The sequence below is a fragment of the Homo sapiens genome, chromosome 4 (assembly GCF_000001405.40).
Source record: "Homo sapiens chromosome 4, GRCh38.p14 Primary Assembly".
NCBI classification, from domain to species: Eukaryota; Metazoa; Chordata; class Mammalia; order Primates; family Hominidae; genus Homo; species Homo sapiens.
The window spans coordinates 41,165,704-41,189,301 of record NC_000004.12 but is presented as its reverse complement, the minus strand read 5'-3'; the positions used below and the strand labels follow the sequence as shown (position 1 = coordinate 41,189,301).

The 23,598-nt window shown below is 40.2% G+C and overlaps 1 protein-coding gene across 48 annotated transcripts in view; it reads left to right on the top strand.

The window, feature by feature from the left end:
* APBB2 (amyloid beta precursor protein binding family B member 2) overlaps positions 1-23,598 on the top strand; it is a 404,516-nt gene that overhangs the window by 25,241 nt on the left and 355,677 nt on the right. For 11 of the 48 annotated variants that reach the window (XM_047450163.1, XM_047450168.1, XM_047450174.1 and 8 more), the window contains exon 2: positions 11,612-11,672. The exons of the other annotated variants lie outside the window; for them this stretch is intronic. The gene's annotated coding sequence lies outside the window, so the exon portion shown is untranslated. The remainder of the gene's footprint in view (positions 1-11,611; positions 11,673-23,598) is intronic. 48 annotated transcript variants of the gene reach the window in all.

Here is a 23,598-nt window from a genome sequence, read left to right as displayed (position 1 = left end):
GAACTTGGTGTAAATGGAATCATGAAGTGATTCAGTATGTGCTTTCATTCTGACCACGTCTGTGCAACCATCCACGTTGTTGTGAGTAGCAACAGCTCATGTTTTTCCCACTGTATATATTATATGAATATACTTCAGCCTATCCACTTTACTGTTGACAGACATTTGGTTTTCCAGTTTATGGCTACTGGGAATAATGATGCTATGAATATTCTTGTATTTGCCTTTGGTAGACACTTACCAGGCATTTCTGTTAGGTATATTCTTAGGAGTAGGATTGCTGAATTGTAAGGGGTGTGTAGGTTGTTTAATAAAGTCTTCCAAATTGGTGGTTCCAGTTTACATTCCTACCAGCCATGTATGTTGCCACCACTTTTTCTTTTTTTGAATTGAGACGGGGTCTCACTGTCACCTAGGCTGGAGTGCAGTGGCATGATCTTGGCTCACTGCATCTGTGCCTCCCAGGCTCAAGCAAACCTCCCGCCTCAGCCTCCCTAGTAGCCCAGACTACAGGCACGTGCCACCACACCCTGCTAGTTGCCACCACTTTTAACCCGGTTAGAACTGCCTTTGTTCCTTACCTTAGTTCACATAAGCATCCCCACACCCACAGGCACTGTTTTAGTCTGTTCAGGCTGCTGTAACAAAATACTCTAAAACAACAGACACTTATTTCTCACAGTTCGGGAAGCTGGAAAACGTTCGAGATGAAGGTGCTGGCAGATTAGGGTCCTGCTTTCTGGCTCATAGATGGCCATCTTCTCACTGTGTCCTCACATGGCAGAAAAGGGCCAGAAAGCTCGTAGAGGATCTTTTATAAGGGCACAAATCCCATCCATGAGGGCTGTACCCTCGTGATCTAATCACCTCTTAAAGACCCCACCTCCCAGTACCATCACATTTGGAGTTGGGATTCCAACACATGAATTTTGGAGGGGAACAAACATTCAGTCTGCAACAGGCACCACAGCTGGAAATCTTCCTGCCTCTTTAAGATTCTTTTCTTTTACTTCATGGAGGTAGCTTGTCAATAGGGCTGGAAATGTCTCTGGAACCTGTTTTCTTTTTCAGTCCCCAGATGTCTTCATTTTTTTCTCACCTTCATGATGGCAAAGCCTGCTAATTGGTTGTTCTGTCTCTAGATTTTCTTTTCTACAAGCCAACCTCCACATGTTCCCCTAGAATAGAAAGATACATAACTAAAAGCACCTATCACAGTTTATAGGCACTTTAATGTGAATTGAATGGAAATCTGATTTAAAACTGGCTGTATTATACAGTCTAAACTCTTTTGCATAAATATGTATTGGAAAGAGTTAAGGAGTAATGATTTTTCATGCTATTGAGGATCTCATTTGGGAAAAATATAAATATATAAATCTCAATAGATGTTTATGTATGTATACACATATATACATACATGCATACATAGAAACTTTTTTCCTTTGCCTCTGCAGTGAGATTTGGATTACAAAAGAAGCTAAAGTACAAATGGATAACTCATGTCACATAAATGAATTGAGAGTACTGTCTGTTTAAGGATCTTTCAGTTTAGATTTTAAAAGTTTTGGTTGATAATAATAAATAACTCTTGGTTGGCACTTAACAGTTTATGAATGTGTATGTGTGTACATAAATGTCTGTGTTGCTTATTTAATTCTTACAATGACCATGTTCAATAGATAGTATTACAGTATTCTTTTTTGCAAATGAGGAAATAGGGTCTCTGATGAGCTGAACAGTCGTCCAGGGTAACATGAATTGTACTTGATGGTTTGGTAAAGATAACAAAGCCTTCTGAATTCATAGCCCATGGTCATTAAATTCATTTATCTCCTATCTGTGTATGACTTCTGCAGATAAGCTCTGAACTTAAGTTTGTGTGTATAATATTAGCCTATTGGTACAACTGTGTATTATTAATGTTGTTTGTTTTTCTCAAATTTAAAAGACTCTTATCTTTTTTCATGTTATAAAAATGGCATGGTTTTTAGTAGGAAACACAGCAGTAAATAACAAAGTATAAAAAGCCATTTTTTAAAAAATCACCTGAAATCCCACCATTTTGATAGGTGTTACATTTTAATATTTGGCAAGTAAAGGACTGCTGCCTTTTGCTACCTGAGATCTTATTTTGTATCATTGTATCTTCACTTCATTAGGAAAACAGTTCTTACAGAAGCTCATCTCTGACTTGATTTTATTTCTGTGCTGGGGTTGTTTGCTAAAACTTGAAATAATCTTAAATGAAAACACAAAATACAAAATAGCATTCTCATATTGATGATTCCTATATGTGTGCAGAAGCTAGGAATTTTAGTGATAAAATTAAGTTCTTTGTTGCTATGCATCTTAAATATTTGTTTGCATTTCAAAGGAACATATAGTACAGTCAAATGCATGGATTTGGAGTCTGACAAGTTTAGGTATCAGCTCTGGCTTCATAATGTCCTAGTTGTATGGCATTGAGCATGTTTATCGATTAATACCTACCTGATAGGGTTGCTGTGAACACCCAACAGTGCAAAAGTAGTTGTAGTTAGTAATAATAATAGTGCTGTATTAAATGCATTTTTTACTCATGATATTTTCAATTTATGGTGGGTTTATTGCAATGTAAGTCAAGGGTATGGGTAATGATGGTGCTTTATTTCTAGTCAGCAGTAATTTGTTTCCAGATAAAGTAGAGATCTGAACTACAACAGTGGTAATACTGAGTGTTTCCATAGGATTGTATAGACTCTGCATTTTTTTGAGTGAAACAGTTGTTGACATAGTGTAAGGGTTGACACATTGTATTTTTGAACTTCTTGGAATCTGCTTAATGGCAAACAGGTTGCTGAGAACCGAAGGTCTTAGCTGCAAAGTGAGCATACATACACAGCCCTGCAAAGCTAGGTGCATACCAGACAAGTGAATAACATACTAATTATTATCCTACCTTGGTAGTAATAGAATTGTAGCTTCAGGCACTATGTAAGACCTAGCTTTTTGAGCTGGCAAAATAGTGATTACTATTTTTAGTTCAATTTCTGCTCTTTAAAAAAACATAGTATACTACTTGCTACTCCTGGATGGTTTTATGTATTTTAATTAATGTTATCTTATTGCATTTGTACCCTGAGGCTGCTTTAGTGAAAGATATAATTTCAGAAGGCTGATGAAATTAGATAGGTCTGACTAGGAAGACTCTGTTATTCATATTTATGGTTATAAAATATTTCGGGTACATCTGTGTAAGACATTCTTGTGCTATAAACATACAGACACTGTTGTGAATCAATTTGCCTTAGAGTGTGGTAGAGTAGTTACAGACCAGTATAGTAGCTCTAGTGTGGGGGTGATTTGTTGTTTTTGTTGGGGGTGTTTTTGGTATTAAACATGACTTTACATTTTTCACTTGAAATCTCATCGTGCAGTGCTGTGTAAAGAAATGAAAGTGATTCTAAACCAAACACACACAACACTCCTCAGCTCTATTACTTTATAGTCAGGCTTAACACATTCTGATGGAATTGGCATGAAGTACGTGACCAGGTAGAAATCAGCTTTATTTGGTCTAAATGACTAGCCGGTTATAGGGCATGGAAAATCTATTTTAAATCACTTTCCAGAGCCAAATGCAATTAAGATGTTGCAATAAAGTGAAGGCCAATTCTCTGAGAAAGAAAGAAATACTATTTTGAATGAAAAAAATACTATTTTATTTGACATAGTCAATAAAGAAGAAAAGCTATAATAAACTATTTATAATGATAATGTGCAGAGCAGAGTTTTCTTTGAAATGGGAGTTAAGAATTACATAAAGGTGTCACAGAGTGATTGAACAGTTACTATACAGCATATTCCCTACCTTAAAGGTTAGGGTCCTGAAACCCTCTTTATGGTAGATCTTGTGGTTGTGAAATTTGAAATCTTAGGGGGAAAGGTCATGGGCATCAAGAGAAGAAGTGAACCTTAGGAAAACTTAGTACACATTGTTTTTAAGATTCTCTGAAATCAATAGCAATGTGCATTTTAGAAACCTCACACAGCTTCATTGTAATGCTGTGTATTCCTTTTGCTTTGTGATACATAATAACCATATTAAGATGCTTTTGTTGTATCCAGGGGCCAGTCATCTATCCAAATACTTATTGCCCTTTCTTCTTTCTGCTCTCCTTCATCCATCCATATATTTCCATTCAATCATTTCTCCTTTCCTGCGAGGTGCCATTTTAGGCTTTGGGGATACAATGAAACAAAGTTCCTGCCCTCAGTAAGATTACACTCTAGTGAAGGGAGATAGATAAGTGTCTCAGGTTGGATTCTCCACAGGCGGACGCTGAAATGGAGTTTGGGAAGCAGGATGTTTATTTGCGATCAATTCCTGTGAACAGGAGGTGGAAGGAGAATTGTGCAGGGGAAGAAGCTGAGCTGTGATGCAGGTTTGGCGGAGTCTCTGCCAACCTTCCAGAGAGCTCTGCAGTGAATGTCACCTCTCAGAGTGTCCCACACAGAGGTGTGGACTACCCTGGGAAGGATGTGACCTCAGGCAGGTGAGGCTGCACTCTGTAGCCAAGGCTGACCCCAAGGAACTGAGTCATGGACGCTGTTTACCTGCATTTGCTCAGCAAGTTCTTTCTTTATTGGGGGATCTAGCAATGCATCTCCCAGTCTGCCACAATAAGTACTTAAAGTACCTGGTGGTGACACACAATGGAGAAAAATAAAGTGGATGAGGGGGACAGACAGTGTTGGAGGGAGGAGAAGGCCTTAAGGAGCTATTTAAACAGAGGTCTAAAGGAATTAAGGGCTCTGGGGCAGAGTGGTCTAAGCCCAGGGAAGAGCTAGAGCAAAGGCTAGACATGAGCCTGGCCTGTTGGAGGAACAATAAGGGGGCCAGTGTGTGAGCTAGGGTATGAGCATGTAGGGTCTTTTGGCCATTGCCTTTTATCCTTTATGAGGTGGTGTATTACTTTGCTAGGGCTGCTGTAACAAACTACTATAAACTGGGTGGCTTAACCCAGGGGTCTTCTACCCCCAGCCAGGGATACTGGTCTGTGGCCTGTTAGCAACTGGGCCACACAGCAAGAGGAGAGTGGCAGGCCAGCGAATGAAGCTTCATATGTATTTACAGCCGCTCCCCATGGCTCTCATTACCACCTGAGCTCTGCCCCCTGTCAGATCAGTGGTGGCCTTAGATTCTCTAAGGAGCACGAATCCTATTGTGAACTGCACATGTGAGGGATCTAGGTTGTACGCTCTTTATGGGAATCTAATGCCTGATGATCTGTCGCTGTCTCCCATCACTCCCAGATGGGACCATCTAGTTGCAGGAAAACAAGCTCAGGGCTCCCACTGATTCTACATTGTGATGAGTTGTATAATTATTTCATTATAAATTACAATGAAATAATAATAGAAATAAAGTGCACAATAACTGTAGTGCGCTTGAATCATCATGAACCGCCCCCTCCCACCCCCTGCAACTCCCCCAGTCCATAGAAAAATTGTCTTCCATGAAACAACTTCTTGGTGCCAAAAAGGTTGGGGACAACTGGCTTAAACAACACAAATTATTGTTTTACAGTTCTGGAGGCTGGAAGTCTGACTCAGGTTATTGGTAGAGTTGGTTCCTTCTGAAGATCATGAGAGAAAGAGAATCTGTTCCATCCCTCTCTCCTAGCTCTTGGTGGTTTCCTGGCAATATGTGGCATTCCTTGGCTTATAGATCTCTGCCTTCATCTTCACATGGTGTTCTCCCTATGTATGTGTCTCTGTGTCCAAATTTTCCCTTTTTATAAGGACATCATTCATATTGGAATTGGGGCCCACCTAAATGACCTCATCTTAACTAATTACATCTGCAATGACATTATTTCTGAATACGATCACATTCTGTGGTACTGGAGGTTAAGAGTGTAACATATGAATTTTTGAGGGACACAGTTCAACCTGTAACAGGTGGAAAGCCGTCAATGGGTTTTGAGCAGAGGAATGATGCAATCCAACTTAGGTTTATAAAGGATCACTGTTTTGTGGAGAATAGAATGAAAGGAGGAAGCAGAGTCATTGTAAAAAGCCAGGCGAGACAATGGTGATTGCTGGGCCAGGGTGCTAGAGAGGGCGGTGGTGTGGACAGGTTCCAGATATAAGGTACAGCTGACAGAATTTCCTTATAAATTAGATATGGACTGAGAGAGAGAGAAAGAGAATGTAAGCATAGACAAGGATGGCTCTCCTGGGCAACTGCAAGAATGGAATTGCCATTTACTGAGATGGGCAAGGTCTTGGAAGAAGCCAGTTTGGAGGTACCATTAGGAGTTTGATTTAGGACTTAGGTTTCTGATGCTTCTTAGACATTGGTATGGTTAGGCTTTGTGACCCCACCCAAATCTCATCTTGAATTGTATTCCCCATAATTCCCACATGTCAAGGGAGAAAGTAGGTAGAGGTAATTGAATCATGGGGGTGGTTTCCCCATGCTGTTCTAATGGTAGTCAGTGAGTTCTCACAATATCTGATGGTTTTATAAGGGGCTCTTCCCCCTTGGCTTGGCACTTCTCCTTCCTGCTGCCTTGTGAGGAAGGCGCCTTGCTTCCCCTTCACCTTCTGCCATGATTGTAAGTTTCCTGAGGCCTCCCAGCCATGCTGATCTGTGAGTCAATTAAATGTCTTTCCTTTATAAATTACCCAGTCTCAGGCAGTTCTTCATAGCAGTGTGAAAACAGATTAATATAGCTATTCATGTGATGATATTGAATAGGCAGTTGGATATATGAGAGATTCTGGAATCCAGAGTTCAAAGAAGTTTCAGCTGGAAATGTGATTTGAAAGGCAGCTATGTTCACCACTATACCACCAATACTGGAGATGTGATTTATAAATCATGAATTTGTAGAAGGTGTTTGAAGCTGTGAGATTAACCAAGGTTACCTTGGTGAGATCACCAAGAAGGCAGGTACTGAATGTTCGCAATTAGAGTAATCATTCAGTAGAATGAAGGTTCAAATTGACCATTGGCTTTGGCAACATGGAGGTCATTGGTGATCTTGACAAGCAGTTTTGATAGAATGGTAGGAATGAAAGCCTAATTGGAGTGAGCTTAATGGGAGGAGAGAAATGGAGACTGTAAATATAGACAGCCCTTGACTTTACAACTGTCTCTCCCTTGTTTATCCTGGAGATGCGGAGTCACTAGGATGCTAGAGATGGAAAGATCTTTATGTGACCTTCTTAGAAGGGAAGTTAGGTACTTCTCACGCCTCCTTTTCTGTTACAAGGTTATTTAACTCTACAGAGTAAAGATGGCTTCATGCCAAAGTATGTTATGGTAGTCCCTTTCTTTTTTCTTTTTCTTTTTTTTTTTTTTTTTTTGAGACAGTTTCACTCTTGTTGCCCAGGCTGGTGCAATGGCGTGATCTCGACTCACCGCAATCTCCACCTCCCAGGTTCAAGCGATTCTTCTGCCTCAGCCTCCTGAGTAGCTGGGATTACAGGCATGTTGCCACCATGCCGGGCTAATTTTGTATTTTTAGTAGAGACAGGGTTGCTCCATGTTGGTCAGGCTGGTCTCGAACTCCTGACCTCAGGTGATCCACTCTCCTCGGCCTCCCAAAGTGCTGGAATTATAGGCGTGAGCCACTGTGCCCGGCCATGCTAGTCCCTTTCGAGCAAGTTCTAGCTCCTTTCTTCCTAACAGGATAGTATATTAATACTGAGTTCTTAAGGAGTAAGAGTGTGTTAGGCTTACATAGAATTAGTCATGAAGTCATAAGGGAAGAAATATTTGACCTAAAAGGATGTTTACTGCGATTCACTTGCATGAATAAAGAAAATGAAGAAATTATACATAATTAGCTCTTGGGATAATTTACATCCAAAAACAATTTTAAGCACGTTTCAATTTCTTCTTTCACGTGTCTTAAAATCAAGAGTTATAAGCAAAGTATAATTAACCCACTTGAGTTTCATCGTCTCCCATTATCCAAGGTAAGGGAGCGGAAGACCCAAAAAGGCAACCGAAAGAGTAGCGTGAAACAAAAGGGCCCTTGAGTTGTAGCCTTGCCCCTGGCAACTTCCCCAACTCCCCACAATGGCTTGGTGAAACAGTTTAGGAAAAACTCTGTGCCTGCTTGGAATTGAATGTGGGTGAAGGTGTGAACTTAAGCTTTCAGAAAACCTGTGCAATTTCATAATCAAAGGAGATATTAAATGTTTAGTTTCTACAAGGCCATATTAGCTCTTAAAAAGATTTTTTAAATGTAATTGATGGGATTAAATTTGATCACTGACGTTCCTGCTCTTTTGAAGAGAGCACCTATTCTGTTAACCCATAGGATTCATTTGATCAAATGTGATTTTTTTTTAGATGAAAGGGACTTCTTTCAGGGGTTCATTCTTCTCCACTGAGTTCACAGAGGGAAAAAAGGAAGGAAGTAGAATTAAACTATACAATGAAAACAGCTTTGGATTTAATACAGGAGAAGCTTTTCTTAATGAGGCCTCTTGAGGATGGTCATAGTGTAGGATTTGTAAATCATTCCCTTGTAGACAATCAAGGTAAAGTGATCAGGAGTCCTTGAAGGTGGGAGGTCATTCTGGTCCACTGGAAGACACAAGAAAACATGTGCCCACATTTACTGTTTAGTAGTTTTTGTTTTTTTGTTTTAGAGACAGGGTCTTACTCTGTCACCCAGGCTGGAGTGTAGTGGTGCGATCATAGCTCACTGCAGCCTCGACCTCCTGGGCTCAAGTGATCCTCCAGCCTCACCCTCCCTCTGCCCCCCCATCAAGTAGTTGGGACTACACGCATGTACCACCACTATGACTGGCTAATTCAATTTAATTTAATTTTTGTTTGTTTGTTTGTTTTTTTGCAGAAACAAGGTCTAGCTAAGTTTTACAGGCTGGTCTTGAACTTCTAGACTCAGGCAGTCCTCCCGTCTCCCCCTCCCATGGGGCTGGGATTACTGACGTGAGCCACTGTGTCCAGCCAAGTTTACTCTTAAGGACCCTGAATCAAGCACACATAACCCCACCTTCATGCAGGTTTACTTTGATTTATTCGGGATTCACAGGACCATGGTGTTTAAAAGCATTTGTGTCCTTGTAAGAGATAGCGAGGAGGGGGTCAGGCATGCTGCCTTACACTGATGGAAGCTCTTCACTAACCCAAACCTTTGCCCACAGAGACAAATGATTTCTCAGGTTTGTGTCCATTCTGAGAGCTGTTTTGTTCCTGTACTTTCCCTTTTTGTCTTATCTGATGTTGGTCTCTTAAATTCAGCATTGAAATTTAAGTATGAAAGAAAGAGAAGGATTAGTTGGATGTTGTTTGTATTAAATTCTCTAATGAGTTAACACGTTATCAAGTACCATTTTGTTTGCTTTCCCTGAGGTTTTAAAATATTATTTCCAAGATAAGATTCCCAGGCAGCTGTCTTCCTTACTTCTGAATTTATATATAATCTAGTGTTATTAACCCTTTGTAGTTCTTTTTTATGCCAGTATGTGTCTGTTTTGGGAATTTTTAAATAAAGCCAGCTGTGTTAAATATTCACAGAATCGATTTTCACTTGCTTAAAGTCTTTAGTGATTTATCTTCAGGGAGTATTAATACGGCAGTAATTCTGCATTACATTTCTTGTACCAGCATTTAATTGATGCTATATTTCATGAGGATTATTGCAGGTTTATTGCTGTTATATTTAGAGTTGTGGTTCTGGGCTGGTAATCTAGAAGCGTGAGATTCCCAAATCTGTTGTTCCATTTTAATTGTGTGTTCTTTTGAGCTGACAAGTTTGAGAAGGGCTGTTAACTATTTAACAGACCTGATAGATAAAAACTATTTTAGTAGAGTAGACCTGGGGATACTTTACCTGTGTATGTTGTGTGAATCTATTTTTTTACATGACGGTAGATGAATTGAATCTATACATATTTTTAAATTGATATATATGTTGATATGATTTATGTTAGGTGTTAGTGTTTGATTTACTTCCCAATTGAGGTACTCGGACATCTCAGGCTGTGTGAATGGCAGCAGTTGTATTGTGTTTTAAAACAGGTTAATTTACATTGTTGTTCTCTTTGAGAAACTTCAGTAGTTTCTCAGAACATTAGAACACAGTTCTCCTTGGAACCTCACACTGTATGACACTTGGCAAGTGTTCGTCATTGTATTGAAAGAACAAATACATGTCTGTAGAACAGAAAACTTTTTGTTGAGCGAGTAAATGGATGTCTGTGCAATAGACGTGACACGTATACAACACACTGGTGGACCCTCAAGGAAGAAGGAGAGTTTGCCCATCAATCACAGTCCTTAATAAATATTTGTTTAATGAATGAAAAGTAGGAAAAGAGGTAGGAGGCAGTTCTGGGTGGGTGGAAGGGAAGTGTAAAAACTGCAGAGGCAGAAAAGTACAAGACAAGGTTATGGCTCAAGTATTTGTATTGGATTTAACCCAGGCAGCAGAATGTTCTGAAAGGAACCCTAGACTAGGAGTTAACACACTTGGGTCTTTGCCACTTATTAAGAATGTGGTCTTGGGTGACTCAGTGAACTTTTGGGCCTTGGTTTTCTCATCTGCTCTGGCTTTCTTCCCCAAAAGCTTACTATGAAGGTCAGATGAGAAAATTTATGAGAGAATGTTTTGCAGACCCTCAAGGGACATCCATATTAGATGGTGATGTGAGCCTTGATAGAAGATGAGGTTCATTCATCCAACAAATGTTTACTGAGCACCTGCCTCGGGCCATGCACTGTGATAGATGGTGGCAGTACAGTGGAGGGTAAAACACACACCTTATCTCCTGGCTTTTGTTCTAGTGGGTGAGAAAGATATTTATCAGTCACTCAAATAGAGAATTACATACTGTTGTAAGTACTTTAAAGTACAGGGTACCGGAGGCTCCATTCTAGTCTGGGTGGGTTTGAGGCTTCTCCTGTAGATGTATGTAGAGATTTTAAAGATCCTTAGTAGGAGTGACTTAAACACAACATTGCTTTAGGAAGTTTAATCTATTTGGCTACCTGTAGGATAGATTGACAAAGGATTGGAGTCTGGAAGAATAAAAAAGTTACTGTGCTGTATATATGTATATTTTTCTTTACTTGGAATTGTCTTGATGTTTTGTTTAATATTGATACATGTGGGTAAGGTTTTCTGGAGTCTTGATGTTTATATGGTTTGCATTTGGTGTATTAGTGAACATCTATTTTTAGTTAGACATGAAGTTGTTTAGCATAAAGTGTTAGTAAACTCTTACGTAGGTTCTTCTGCGTGTGAGACCCTGTACTTAGTGCTTCATATATACAGGTTGAGCATCTGTAATCTGAAAATCTGAAATCCAAAGTGCTCCAAAATCTGAAACTTCTTAAGCACTGACATGGTGTTCAAAGGAAATGCTCACTGGAGCATTTCAGATTTCAGATTTTTGGATTATGGATGCTCAACCGGTAAGTATAATGCAAATATTCTCAAATATGAAAAATCTAAAACTTGAAACACTTCTGGTCCCAAGCATTTTGGATAAGGGATACTTACCCTGTATTAACTCATATTAACTCCCAACAACCACTGTTGAGACCATGTTATTCAACCATATTGTCCTCATTTTACAGACAGGGAAACTGAAACTTCCCAGGCTGTGCAGCTAGTAGGTGGGACTTGGACCCAGACCAGGTGTGTGTCCATCGCTGCATTATCATCTCTTCATAAAACAAAGAATTTAATATTGTATGAACGAAGATAAGGTAACCTTTAAATAACCACTGTGAATCCCTTTGTTTCAATATATTTCATTCCTCTTGATTTTTAAAATAAATATTTGTTAATTACAAAATTAAGAACAAAACCTATTTTAAAGCAAAATATTTTTTATGTTACAGTTTGCATTTTACAATGCAGAATGAGAAAAGCATGGTAGTTCTTGATACTGCTTTCAGGGCTGCATAGCTCCCCATTTTTTCCCTTTGTTTCATAACCAGAATAACTGTCAGCTGAGTCAGTGAGTGTCCAGAGCTGTTAACTGTGGTAGATCTTGTTTGCCTCCTGTCTTTCACTGCCCAGAAAAGCTTCAATTCTGTATCATCTGTGCATTTTAGTTCTAGGGCAGAAAAGTCTTAGAGCAGATAGCATCTGTGGTGTGTACTTAAACTGACCCTCTGAATTCACAGATGGGAACCACAAAATGAAGGCAACCACTTTCCATGGTGTTAATTATTGGCAGAGCCAGAACCAAAGAGCAGGACCCAGGACATCAGCCCAGTTTCCCCCATGGCCTATTTAGACATTGCTCATTTTCATGCTTTTTTTTTTTTTTGGTACACTATTTTCATTCAATTGCATTTGTGTAATATATTTGACAGTGAAATTTTGCATTAATTCAGCTAAGTCCTGAAGTAGAGGTGTAAGGCATGCTCTGGCTGTTTTCAAAATGAGTTCATATTCAGATTATTTCAATTTAGATATTAATAAGATCTCAAATTTTTTTCTTATAATTTTAGTTTTTGTTAACCCAAAATGCTTTATGAAATAAGCTGTCTTGTGTTATTTTCCCTCATTGCATTAGCTTTTCATTTGTTTTGCTTCTTTTTCTTAAAACTTTGATCCTAAACTATGGGCCAGTGTAGATAAGCTACAAAATGTCTGAGTTCAGAATTGAACTAAACCCATGGTTTTGGATTACTTTGGTTTACGGCCAGAATTACTGACATTTTTTGTAGTGATAGTAAGAGAAAATGTTTTGCAGTGTCTCATAAGGGACTTTTTATATATTACTTTTTGATTCTGCTTTTGTTTTTTGACCTTTGGGCTGGTAGGTGGGGGCCAAGCAGGATTGGGAGGGGGAAGAAGCTGGAAGTATGCTTTCTGTCTAATGTAACCCAGCTTGTCCTCTGAGGGCTCTGGTTTAATTTGGTTAATGCTGTAAACTGCTAAAAAAAAATACATTCTTTATGGGAATTGGGTGTAGATATAATGTTACTAGGAAAGAGACAATAAGCTTGCAGTTTTACAGATGGTCTCATTTTCTTTATTTGGTTAGAATCTCTTTTTGGACTCTTTATGCTTTCTGTGATTGGTGTGAGTCTTTCTGTTTTTATTTTGTCCGTGTTTTATTACCAACTGGTTATATTTCAGTAACAGAGCCAGGGGGACCAGAATCTCTTAAATATTCTGTACAGAATTTTGTGTTTAGAGTGTAGACCCTCTTATCTGGGAATATCATGACCAGCAGCTGGTTAGTTATTTAAGGTGGAGAAATGTGAAAAATGTTACATTCATGTCTTAAACATTTTATTTCAAACATGTTTGCTAATTTCTGATATGGGGCCAAGTCCTGATAAGTGGCTTCCATGTTGGTTTTGTACATAAACTTCACCTATGATGCATGATCTACACAGTTTTCAGTTTAGGTTGCTTTAAAGTAAGAACTTTAAAATACTTGTGAATATCTTGAGTGTAGAATCCTAGATTTTTATGATTTGCCTTCCAGTCTTTTGCTGTTTTCTTCCTCACATCTAATATCATGGCATTTATTTTAGTGTTTAACTTTTATTGAATTATTCCAAATCATTCAAACATTCAACTTCATTTTCGTTGAAACATTAATTTATCTGAATAAAAAAATTAAAAAACATTCATTTCTCTGAATATTGTGTTTATATACAATTTACTATGTGTTTATATATTTAAATTGTAAGAACAACTGGTGTAAATAGGAATAAACATATCTGACCATAGGGAATGATACAGCTTGATTGGTGGGAGCAGATCACTACTTTTTAATCTGTATGTGATGAAAATCTAGTCTTTTTTATTTCCAATCTTTTGTGGACCTGTACTTTTACTTAAAAAACAAACAAACAAAATACAAGCCTTATTTTTTAAATTTATTTTTAAAAACGACAGAAATAAAGTTACATTTTAATAAATGTAGTTGGAAAAAACAGAATATAGGGAAGAATTTCTAAATGTGTACTTTGAAAGTGTACATGTCTTGGCAATTCACAAAGAATTACTGTTACTCTTGTTAATTTTTATTCCATTTATAACTAAGCAAAAAGTTATGAGTGAAATAATGATTCTTCATATTAAATTCCTCTGTATATACTTTGACCAAACTCTATGTATATCAATATTTAGAGTTTTTAATGTCACAAATGAATTCCCATCTTGCTTGTTAACCTATCTAACTAGGCTGGGTTGGTGACAAGCTTGTCTTGAGGCTAATGTCTATCCAAACTATTTCTAGTTTTCCTTAAATAATACTCATGGTAGAGGAACTGATCTTATAGAGGGATGTGGATGATAATGAATGAAAAAAGACATTTTAAAGGAATTCTGGAACGCTCAGGATATTCATTTTTAATTTTACTCCAAAATGATGTAAGTGATGCTATCGTGTCAAAATTCATCTTCAGTCCTTCTTCAGTAGCCAGTTCCAACAATATATCCTGTAAATTTATGTTTAAATTTAAATGAACTTTTAGTGTTAAGAAATGGATTCCTGATTTTAATACTTTCGTACTGCAGTTGACTAACCTTAAACTATCATATGTGGTCACGTAGTTCTTCAGAGCTTGACTAGTAGGTAGCTGGTGCTGCATGTACCTCACAAGATCAGCAACACTGGAGTTGGTCAATGAAGCGAGTCAGATACTTAGGCCCTTAGGTGATGCAACCATGTCTAATGGCTCTGTATGTTTCTAAATGCCTTCTCACCATTTTTGTACTTACCTCATGGGCAACTGGTAATAAACAGTTGGCAGACTAGCACCCACCTAGACCACACATTGAGTAGTCTTGTGCTCAGGTAGAGTCTCCTACTAGTTATGAGCTGCTAGCGTGCTCAAACATCAGTCATGTTCTGATGTAGGATGCGCCGGTTAATTTGGCAGGGTGGTTAAGCAGAGATGAGTTAAGGGAGCCTCTCTTGTGTAAACATTTTTTTTCTGGGGAGCAGGTTTATAGCTTTCTTGAGATTCTCTGACTTAAAAAAGGTTAGGAACTGCACTATCAGATATGTGTGTGTGCATGCTTGTATGTATTATATTAATCCCGTGATTGTGAGGCCAATAGAAGTCTGCTTAGTTATCTCTTAAGAAATCTCAGTAGTTGATTCTTTTGTCCTTTGCCTGAGTATATTGCCTGGGCCCAGGAAAATTTATCTGCTATTGCAGTTTAACACACCCTGAAAAAGTGATCAGCTTCGGTGTTTCAGTCCACAGTTACCTGTTAACTAAGATGATTTTAAACGAGAATCGTGTGAACAGGGACTACCTAGGTTAGCTGTGATTTATCTTGCTTTTGTTCATAGCTGAGATAGAAGTCAGTTTTTCATGTTTTTTAAGTAATCATGTTCTTCTCCATCTTTAACACTGGGGTTTGCATGTAGCTTCTGGGTATTGTGGCATATAATACTTATACAGTCATGCATCACTTAGTGGTGGGGATATCTTCTGAGAAACATGTTAGGCGATTTCATAGTTGTGCGAACGTTGTAGAGTGTACTTACACAAGCCTAGATGGTATAGCTTATTACACACCTAGGCTATCTGGTATGGCCTATTGCTCCTAGGTTATGGACCTGTACAGCATGTTACTCTACTCAATTCTGTAGGCAATTGTAACACAATGGTAAGTATTTGTGTATCTAAACATATCTTAACATAGAAAAGTTATGGTAGAAGTATGGTATTGTAATCTAATGGGACCACCTTGTATATGCAGCCTGCCGTTGACTGAAGTGTTGTTATGTGCACCTAGAATGTAGCCATTTCCGTGGAGACATTTTTTACAGCCAGGTACTTCTCTGAAGTATAGTTTTCTGCCTAAGAACTAACACACTCTTGAATTCTCCAGTTTCTCCCCTGGCCGATAGGAATCTGTCTAGTTATCTCTGAAGAAATCTCCGTATTTGGTTCCTTCATCCTTTGCCTGAGAATATTGCCTGGGTCCAGGAGAATTTAGCTGCTGTTACAGTGTAACACACCCTGAAAAAATCAGTTTGGGTATTTCAGGCCCCCATTTTTATGTTAACTAACTTATGATTTTAAATGGTAATCCTTCTGTGAACAGGGACTACTTAGGATAGCTGCGATTTAGCTTGCTTTTATTAGTTCATACCTGAGATAAAAGCGAGTTTTTCATGTTTTTTAAGCAAATGAAATTTTAGCTACAGTTGAACTTTGTTCCCATGGAAGTTATTAGTAGAGTCTTTGGTGTTGGAGAAAGAGTCTGAATTTCCTTGTAGTGGTAATAACCAGAATTTTGAAAGAGAAGATGACAGCGAGGCTGCAGAGGGAAGTGAAAATGTACTAATGATGAGTATAGATTTATTTCAGAGTAAAAAAAGTGTAGTGTGTTAATTTTAGAAGCATTTCCTTTCTTGATGTTTTACCTTGCAACTTGAAGTTTTTCAATATCCTAAAATGAGCTGATTTGACAGTCAAAAAGTATCCTTGAAAAAAATGACAGCTTGGCATCTTTTGCCTGGCTGACTTTTCCCCCTTCCATCAGGTGGAAAGAAAAAGCAGTGGTAAATTTCAGGCATAGTCAGAGGGAAGCCATTTTTACATAATTTTAGTAGCTCTTACTTGAGTGCTTACTGTGTCCATACTATTTCAAGCATATGGATTTCATTTCAAGCTGAGGATGTGGGCAGAGCCCACTCCCATTGCGTGAAGTGCAAAGTACTGTACCAGGCATTGGCGTATGAGAGTTTGTAAACCACACTTAGTTCCTGCCCTCTGGATGCTCCTAATCTAGTGGGGGAGACCAAGAGCCTAACAAATCATCATTTGAAATGGTGGTAGTTTCTATGAAGAGTAATTATAGAGTGCTATGAGAACATAAAGGGTGCTCGTCTAGTCCCCGAGGTTGGTGAGAGAAGCCTTTCCAGCTAAGTGATATTTAAGCCAAAACCTGAGTATATCTTGATGAGTAGAAGTTACGTAGGCCAAAGTGTATGTATAGGGGGCTGGCGGATGGGGGTGGGAAGACAGTCTAGATGAGGGTACGGTTTGCATTAAGCCCTTGAAGTAATGATCGAAGCTGGCTTAGGGACTGGAATGTGCCTGGGGCGGGGGGTGCTGGATGAGGTGTTGGAACAGCAGGCAGGGGCCAGGCACCAGGCAGTGACCAGGATTTTGGTCTTTGTTTTAGAGGCAATGGAAAACTTTAAAGGGGTTATTTATTTATTTATTGTTTCGAGATGGAGTCTCGCTTTGTCACCCAGGCTGGAGTGCAGTAGTACGCTCTTGGCTTACTACAACCTCCGCCTCTTGGGTTCAAGCGATTCTACTGCCTTAGCCTCCCGATTAGCTGGGATTACAGGCTTCTGCCACCATGCCCAGCTAATTTTTTTTGTACTTCTGGTAGAGATGGGGTTTCACCATATTGGCCAGGCTGGTCTCAAACTCCTGACCTCAGGTGATTCCACCCACCTTGGCCTCCCAACGTGGTGGGATTACAGGCGGCTGCCACCACGCCCAGCTAATTTTTTTGTACTTTTGGTAGAGATGGGGTTTCACCATGTTGGCCAGACTGGTCTTGAACTCCTGACCTCAGGCGATTCTGCCCACCTTGGCCTCCTAACGTGCTGGGATTACAGGCATGAGCCACCGCGCCCAGCCCTATTAAAGGGTTTTAAGACAAGACATGGATAGATGTATGCTTTATAAGGCTCATTCTGGGTCACAGTGGATACAGGTAGGTCTTCATGGAGCCTTATGAAATGGTTACTCAGCTCGAACAGTCACTAGACCTTTGCTGAGCTGGGCATAAGTTTGGTTCTTGGCCCTGTTTTGTCTTCCAAAATTCTGTTTATTCAACAAGATTCAAAGTTGGCTTCTGACACCTTCCCCTGCTTTAGAGAAGACTGCATTTTTTTTTTTTGCTATTATTGTTAGAGCCACCTGTTACCTTTGCAAGGAAGCTATGGAACAAAACAATTTACAGGTGTTCCAGGCTGCAGAATGGTCCTTGGGCAGGGCCTACTGGGCAAGTAGCTCTGTATCACTATAGTCCAGGGGCTGGCTCTCAGCTATGGTAATCTGGAAATCAGTTATTTTTCAGCACATGTGTAAAGTGATTGAACTCTGGGGAGCAGATTCTTGTTAACCTAAATCATGAGAGACTCATGTAACTAAAGTGCCAGGTGGTTAATGCTGAGTAAAGACAAGAGCTGGGAGGGGGTCTAGACAGGAGTTCTGGAGGCAAGCCTACATGGAAAGACAAAGGAGAAACTGACGTAGCGAGTTGGTTAGATCTCCATAAGGGCCATCCCTGCAGACCTGTCAAGGGGACTGATACTTGAGTCACTGGATGTTATCAGATATTGTACAGGTTAACACATTCAAGTTATTTAGGCCTCCTTTTTATTGATCCATACCCTTCCTTATTTTAACTTCTTTATAGTTTTCAATTTTTCATTTTGAAATAATATCAGGCTTTTGAAAAAGTAGCAAAAACAGTACAAAGAATTCCCCTGTATTATTCACCTAGATTTCCTAAATGTTAATATCTTATATAATCATTGTACAGTTACCAAAACCAGGAAATTAACATTGGCAGAATACCATCATCTGTAGACCTTATACAAATTTTGCCAGTTAAGGTCCCATTAAAGTTCTTTTTCTGGTCTAGGATCCAATCCAGGATTAGATGTTGCATTTGGTTGTTTCCTTAGTCTTCCTTACTCTTTCTTGGTCTTTCATAACCTTGACTTTTCTGAAGAGTACTGGGCAGCTATTTTGTATTGTAGAATGCCCCTCAGTTTGAATTTTTTGGTTATCTCTTCATGACTGAATAAGCATTTTTGTTAAGAATATTATGGAAGTGATGATGTTGTGTGCTTCTCAGAGCATATCACCCTTCTTTGTTTGTAACCATCATAACTTGGTCTTCCTTCCAAATGGATGTGAAACTTGAGCCAATGTTGACCCTGAGACTATGTCTGGGGGCACCGTAGGTGCTTATGAATGCAAATGTGGGAATTGAGATTACATGGCTATAATAAGATTGCCCTCCGGATGGCCTAGGATATGCCTACATTATTATATATTAATTTTAAAAATCATCATAAAAAGAAAAAAAGAAATAGTTTCTAAATCTCAGACAGACCACTGGGGAAAATGTCCCTGGACTTCAGTTAGGAAAGCTTTGGATAACTTTACCCATTTTAACACCTCACTTAGCAGAGACTGTGCCATCTTGGTAAGACTTGGGAGTTCCCTGCCTTGAACTGATTATTTAGAGGGGGTATTCCCTGCTATGGTCTATGCACTCCAACTATTATATGCGGATTTTGAATTTAGAGTAACCTCATTCTGTTTTAGGATTTTCTTAGATTAATAGAAATGAAACTACTCAACATTTTTCTTCACAAAGTTCATCCTTTATTCTTTCCTAACTGTTCCTGTTTCTAGATCTTATCTTCTTAAAAAAAAAAACCTACAGTAATATTTTCTTTCCTTTTTTCCCCCCCTATTCGTTTTTGGATCTTTACTCTGGTAAAATACTATAAAAATAAATCAGCTACATTTTAGCATAAATACAGAGAAAGCCAGCAGTTGAAATGATTACAGTTTGGAAAATGTTCGATGGAGGCATTTTAGAAGAACGATTTTACCATATCGCAGGCTGCTGCTTTGAAATAACTCATGTTTCTTTCCCACCTCTAAATTGTCATTTTTCCAGTTCTCCTTTTTGGAAGCTTTAGTATGCAAAGCTTTGACAACCATTTAGGAAAATGAAATCACTACCCACTGTGTGTGACATTTGCTTGAGGATAATTCATTTGGTTCAAAATTGGCAGTTGCTGAAATGGGTGGAACAAAGAAATGTTTGCATGGGTTCATTGTTTGAAGGAAGGAAACCTTCCAGGTGGCCATTTAATTGCAGGGATGTGAAAAGCTTTTATCTGATTTTGCGTCTTTGAGTGGATTTTTTCCTCTTCAGTCTCTCCTAGAGTAGTTTTAGGTAATGTTTGGAATTCTCTGCACCTTTGCCTGTGTTGTACTTTTCCTCCCTCTCTGACCTCTTCCTTACTTTACCTCCCTCTCTGTGCTCTTCCTTACCTTTCCTTCCTCTCTGTCCTCTTCCTTTTTTTTTTTTTTTTTTTTTTGAGACGGAGTGTTGCTCTGTCGCCAAGCTGGAGTGCAGTGGCGCAATCTCAGCTCACTGCAACCTCTGCCTCCAGGGTTCAAACGATTCTCCTGCCTCAGCCTCCTGAGTAGCTAGGACTGTAGGTGTGCGCCACCATGCCCAGCTAATTTTTGTATTTTTGGTAGAGACGGGGTCTCACTACCTTGGCCAGGATGGTCTCGATCTCTTGACCTTGTGATCCGCCCACCTCAGCCTCCCAAAGTGCTGGGATTACAGGCATGAGCCACTGCATCCAGCCACTTCTCTGTCCTCTTCCTTACCTTTCCTTCCTTTCTGTCCTCTTCCTTACCTTTGTGTGGGCTGGCAAGTCATTTCCTGTATCAGGTAGAAAACTTTCTATTGTAAATCACAGAAAATTTCACTCAACTAAGTTTAAACAGTAAAGGTAATCTTCCTAACTGAAGAGTAGAGATTAAGAGTTAGGCTTAGGTTTGATCAGGGCCGTGGTTCTATTTCTCTGTAGATCTTTAGGTCAGTTCTCAAGCGGTCTGAGGAATGGGACTTTTTCTTTTTTAAATTTCTATACCATTGCAGACCAATACTTTTGTAAAATACAAATGAATTTCTAGGAAAACGAATTACTAGGAAAACAAAGTTATAAAAAACAAATATAAGCCCATTATTTAAAATTGTTGACTTCGCTGGGCATGGTGGCAGGTGCCTGTAATCCCAGCTACTCAGGATGCTGAGGCAGGAGAATCGCCACTTGCACTCCAGCCTGGGTGACAGAGCGAGACTCTTTGTCTGAGGAAAAAAATAAAAAAATAAATAAATAATTAAAAAAATGTTGGCTTCAACAGACAAAATTATTCTGTCAAATTGCTGTCAATATTTCTTTTTCTTTTTTTTTTTGTTTTTAGACGTTGTCTCACTCTGTCGCCCAGGCTGGAGTGCAGTGGCGCGATCTCGGCTCACTGCAGGCTTCGGCTCACTGCAGGCTCCGCCTCCCGGGTTCATGCCATTCTCCTGCCTCAGCCTCCCGAGTAGCTGGGACTACAGGCACCTGCCACCACGCCCGGCCAATTTTTGTATTTTTAGTAGAGATGAGGTTTCACCATGTTAGCCAGGATGGTCTCCATCTCCTGACCTCGTGATCCGCCCGCCTCGGCCTCCCAAAGTACTGGGATTATAGGCGTGAGCCACCACGCCCAGCCAAATTGCTGTCAATATTTCTAAACATGCTCATTGTCAGTTTCTGTCCTGACCTTGTGGTAGGCTGTGGAAAAGCACCATGTTGGCTCTGGCCTCCTCTGCTAGCTGGATTCAGTGCAGCTCTCCTCCTTGTGGCAAGATGGCTGCCAGTAGTTTCCAGAATGATGTGTGTCTTTGTTCTCATCTAGGGAAAGAGTTTTCCTCAGTATTGTTCCTAAGCTTTGAGCCTCATACTAGGATCAGCTCACAGCTGGTCACTGAGACCAGAGGGTTTGTCCGTTTTTGAACCTATCACCATTAGAAGGAATATTGCCCTAGGGATGGGGGCTGGTGGCTCTCTGAATCCATATGACTTCCATACAATGCTGAGGAGGCACTTGCATTATTCACTACTGTTTTAGATTAATAAAATATGCATAGGCACTACTTGTACATTTAGTCTGTGATAAAATAAAAAAAAATTAACATTTGGTTTTTGTCCCTGGTTCCTGTCACAGAGCTCCTAAAACCCTTGGAGTCCCCTGAGTGGTGAGAGTGTCTTTCACGTGCTAATCATTCACTCTTGGGGGTTGTTGTGGGTAGTTATCTTCAGGTTGAGCCTGGTCACCACAAAGACCAAAGCATGTTTAGAGGGTTAGAACTTTCTGCTCCATTTCAGACCTCGAGGGAGATGAGAAGGATTCATGATTTAACCAATCATGCCTACATAATGGAGCCTCCATAGTAGACAGTGAGATTTGGCGAGCTTCTGGGTTGGTGAGCACACGGAGGTGCTGGGAGGGTGGCATGCTCCAGGAGGGCTTGGAAACTGTGCGCCTGCCCCCACCTCTTGCCTGGTGCATCCTTTCCATTTGACTGTTCATGAGTTATATCCTTTTTGATAAACCTTTATGTATATGCAAAGAAACATAAGTGTCTTCCTGGGTTCTATGAGCCAACCTAGTGAATTATTGAACGTGGGAGGGCTTATGTGGAAACCCCCAAATTTGTAGCCAAGACAGAAGTGTGGGTTTAACCCCAAAATGCAGGTTCAGTCACCCACCACTTGCAGAGTCCAGTTAACAAGAGCAAGGTCTGGTATAAAACAGTTTTTTTAAATTTTATTTTATTTTTCTGCTCAGGCTGGAGTGCAGTGGTGTGGTCACGGCTCACTGCAACGTCTGCCTCCTGGGTTCAAGCGAATCTCCTGCATCAACCTCCTGAGTACCTGAGATTACAAGCATGTGCCACCATACCCGGCTAATTTTTTGTGTTTTTAGTAGAGACAGGGTTTCACCATGTTGGTCAGGCTGGTCTCAAACTCTTGACCTTAAATGATCCGCCTGCCTCGGCCTCCCAAAGTGTTGGGATTACAGGTGTAAGCCACTGAGCCACCGCACCCGGCTTTTCTTTTCTTTTCTTTCTTTTTTTTTTTTTTGACAGTCTCGCTCTGTTGACCCGGCTGGAGTGCAGTGGTGCAATCTTGGCTCACTGCAGCCTCCACCTCCTGGACTCACGTGATCCTTCCACCTCAGCCTCGCCAGTAGCTGGGACTACAGGTACATGCCACTATGCCTGGCTAATTTTTTGATTTTTTTGTAGAGATGAGGTCTCGTTATTTTGCCCATAGATCCAGATCCATTTTTTTGCCCATAGAATACAGCTCTGGGCTGGTTTCAAACTCCTGGGCTCAAGTGATCTTCCCGCCTCAGCCTCCCAAAGTGTTGGGATTACAGGCGTGAGCTACCAAGCCTGGCTGAAAGTGACTTTTTATTCCAAAGCTAGCTTAGCGGAAGAACTACAGGCTTCTTGCTTCCCTTTTGGAGCAGAAAGTGGGTACTTTTAAAAGGGGGCCTGACCCTGTAATCCCAGCACTTTGGGAGGCCGAGGCGGGCGGATCACGAGGTCAGGAGATTGAGACCATCCTGGCTAACATGGTGAAACCCCGTCTCTACTAAAAATACAAAAAAATTAGCCGGGCGTGGTGGCGGGCGCCTGTAGTCCCAGCTACTCGGGAGGCTGAGGCAGGAGAATGGCGTGAACCCGGGAGGCGGAGCTTGCAGTGAGTGGAGATCGCGCCACTGCACTCCAGGCTGGGTGACAGAGCGAGACTCCGTCTCAAAAAAAAAAAAAAAAAAAGGGGGCCTGACATGCTGGCATGAATGGCTTGCAGGGGAGGAAGCGAGCAGGTGGAGGGGTTCGTGTACTTGCTTCAGTGTCTTATCTACTGGGCGATCAAGCTGGTGACTGCTGGTACCTTCATGGACTGAACTGTGTTGTAAAAGTGGCCGAAAACTCCCCAGGTGTA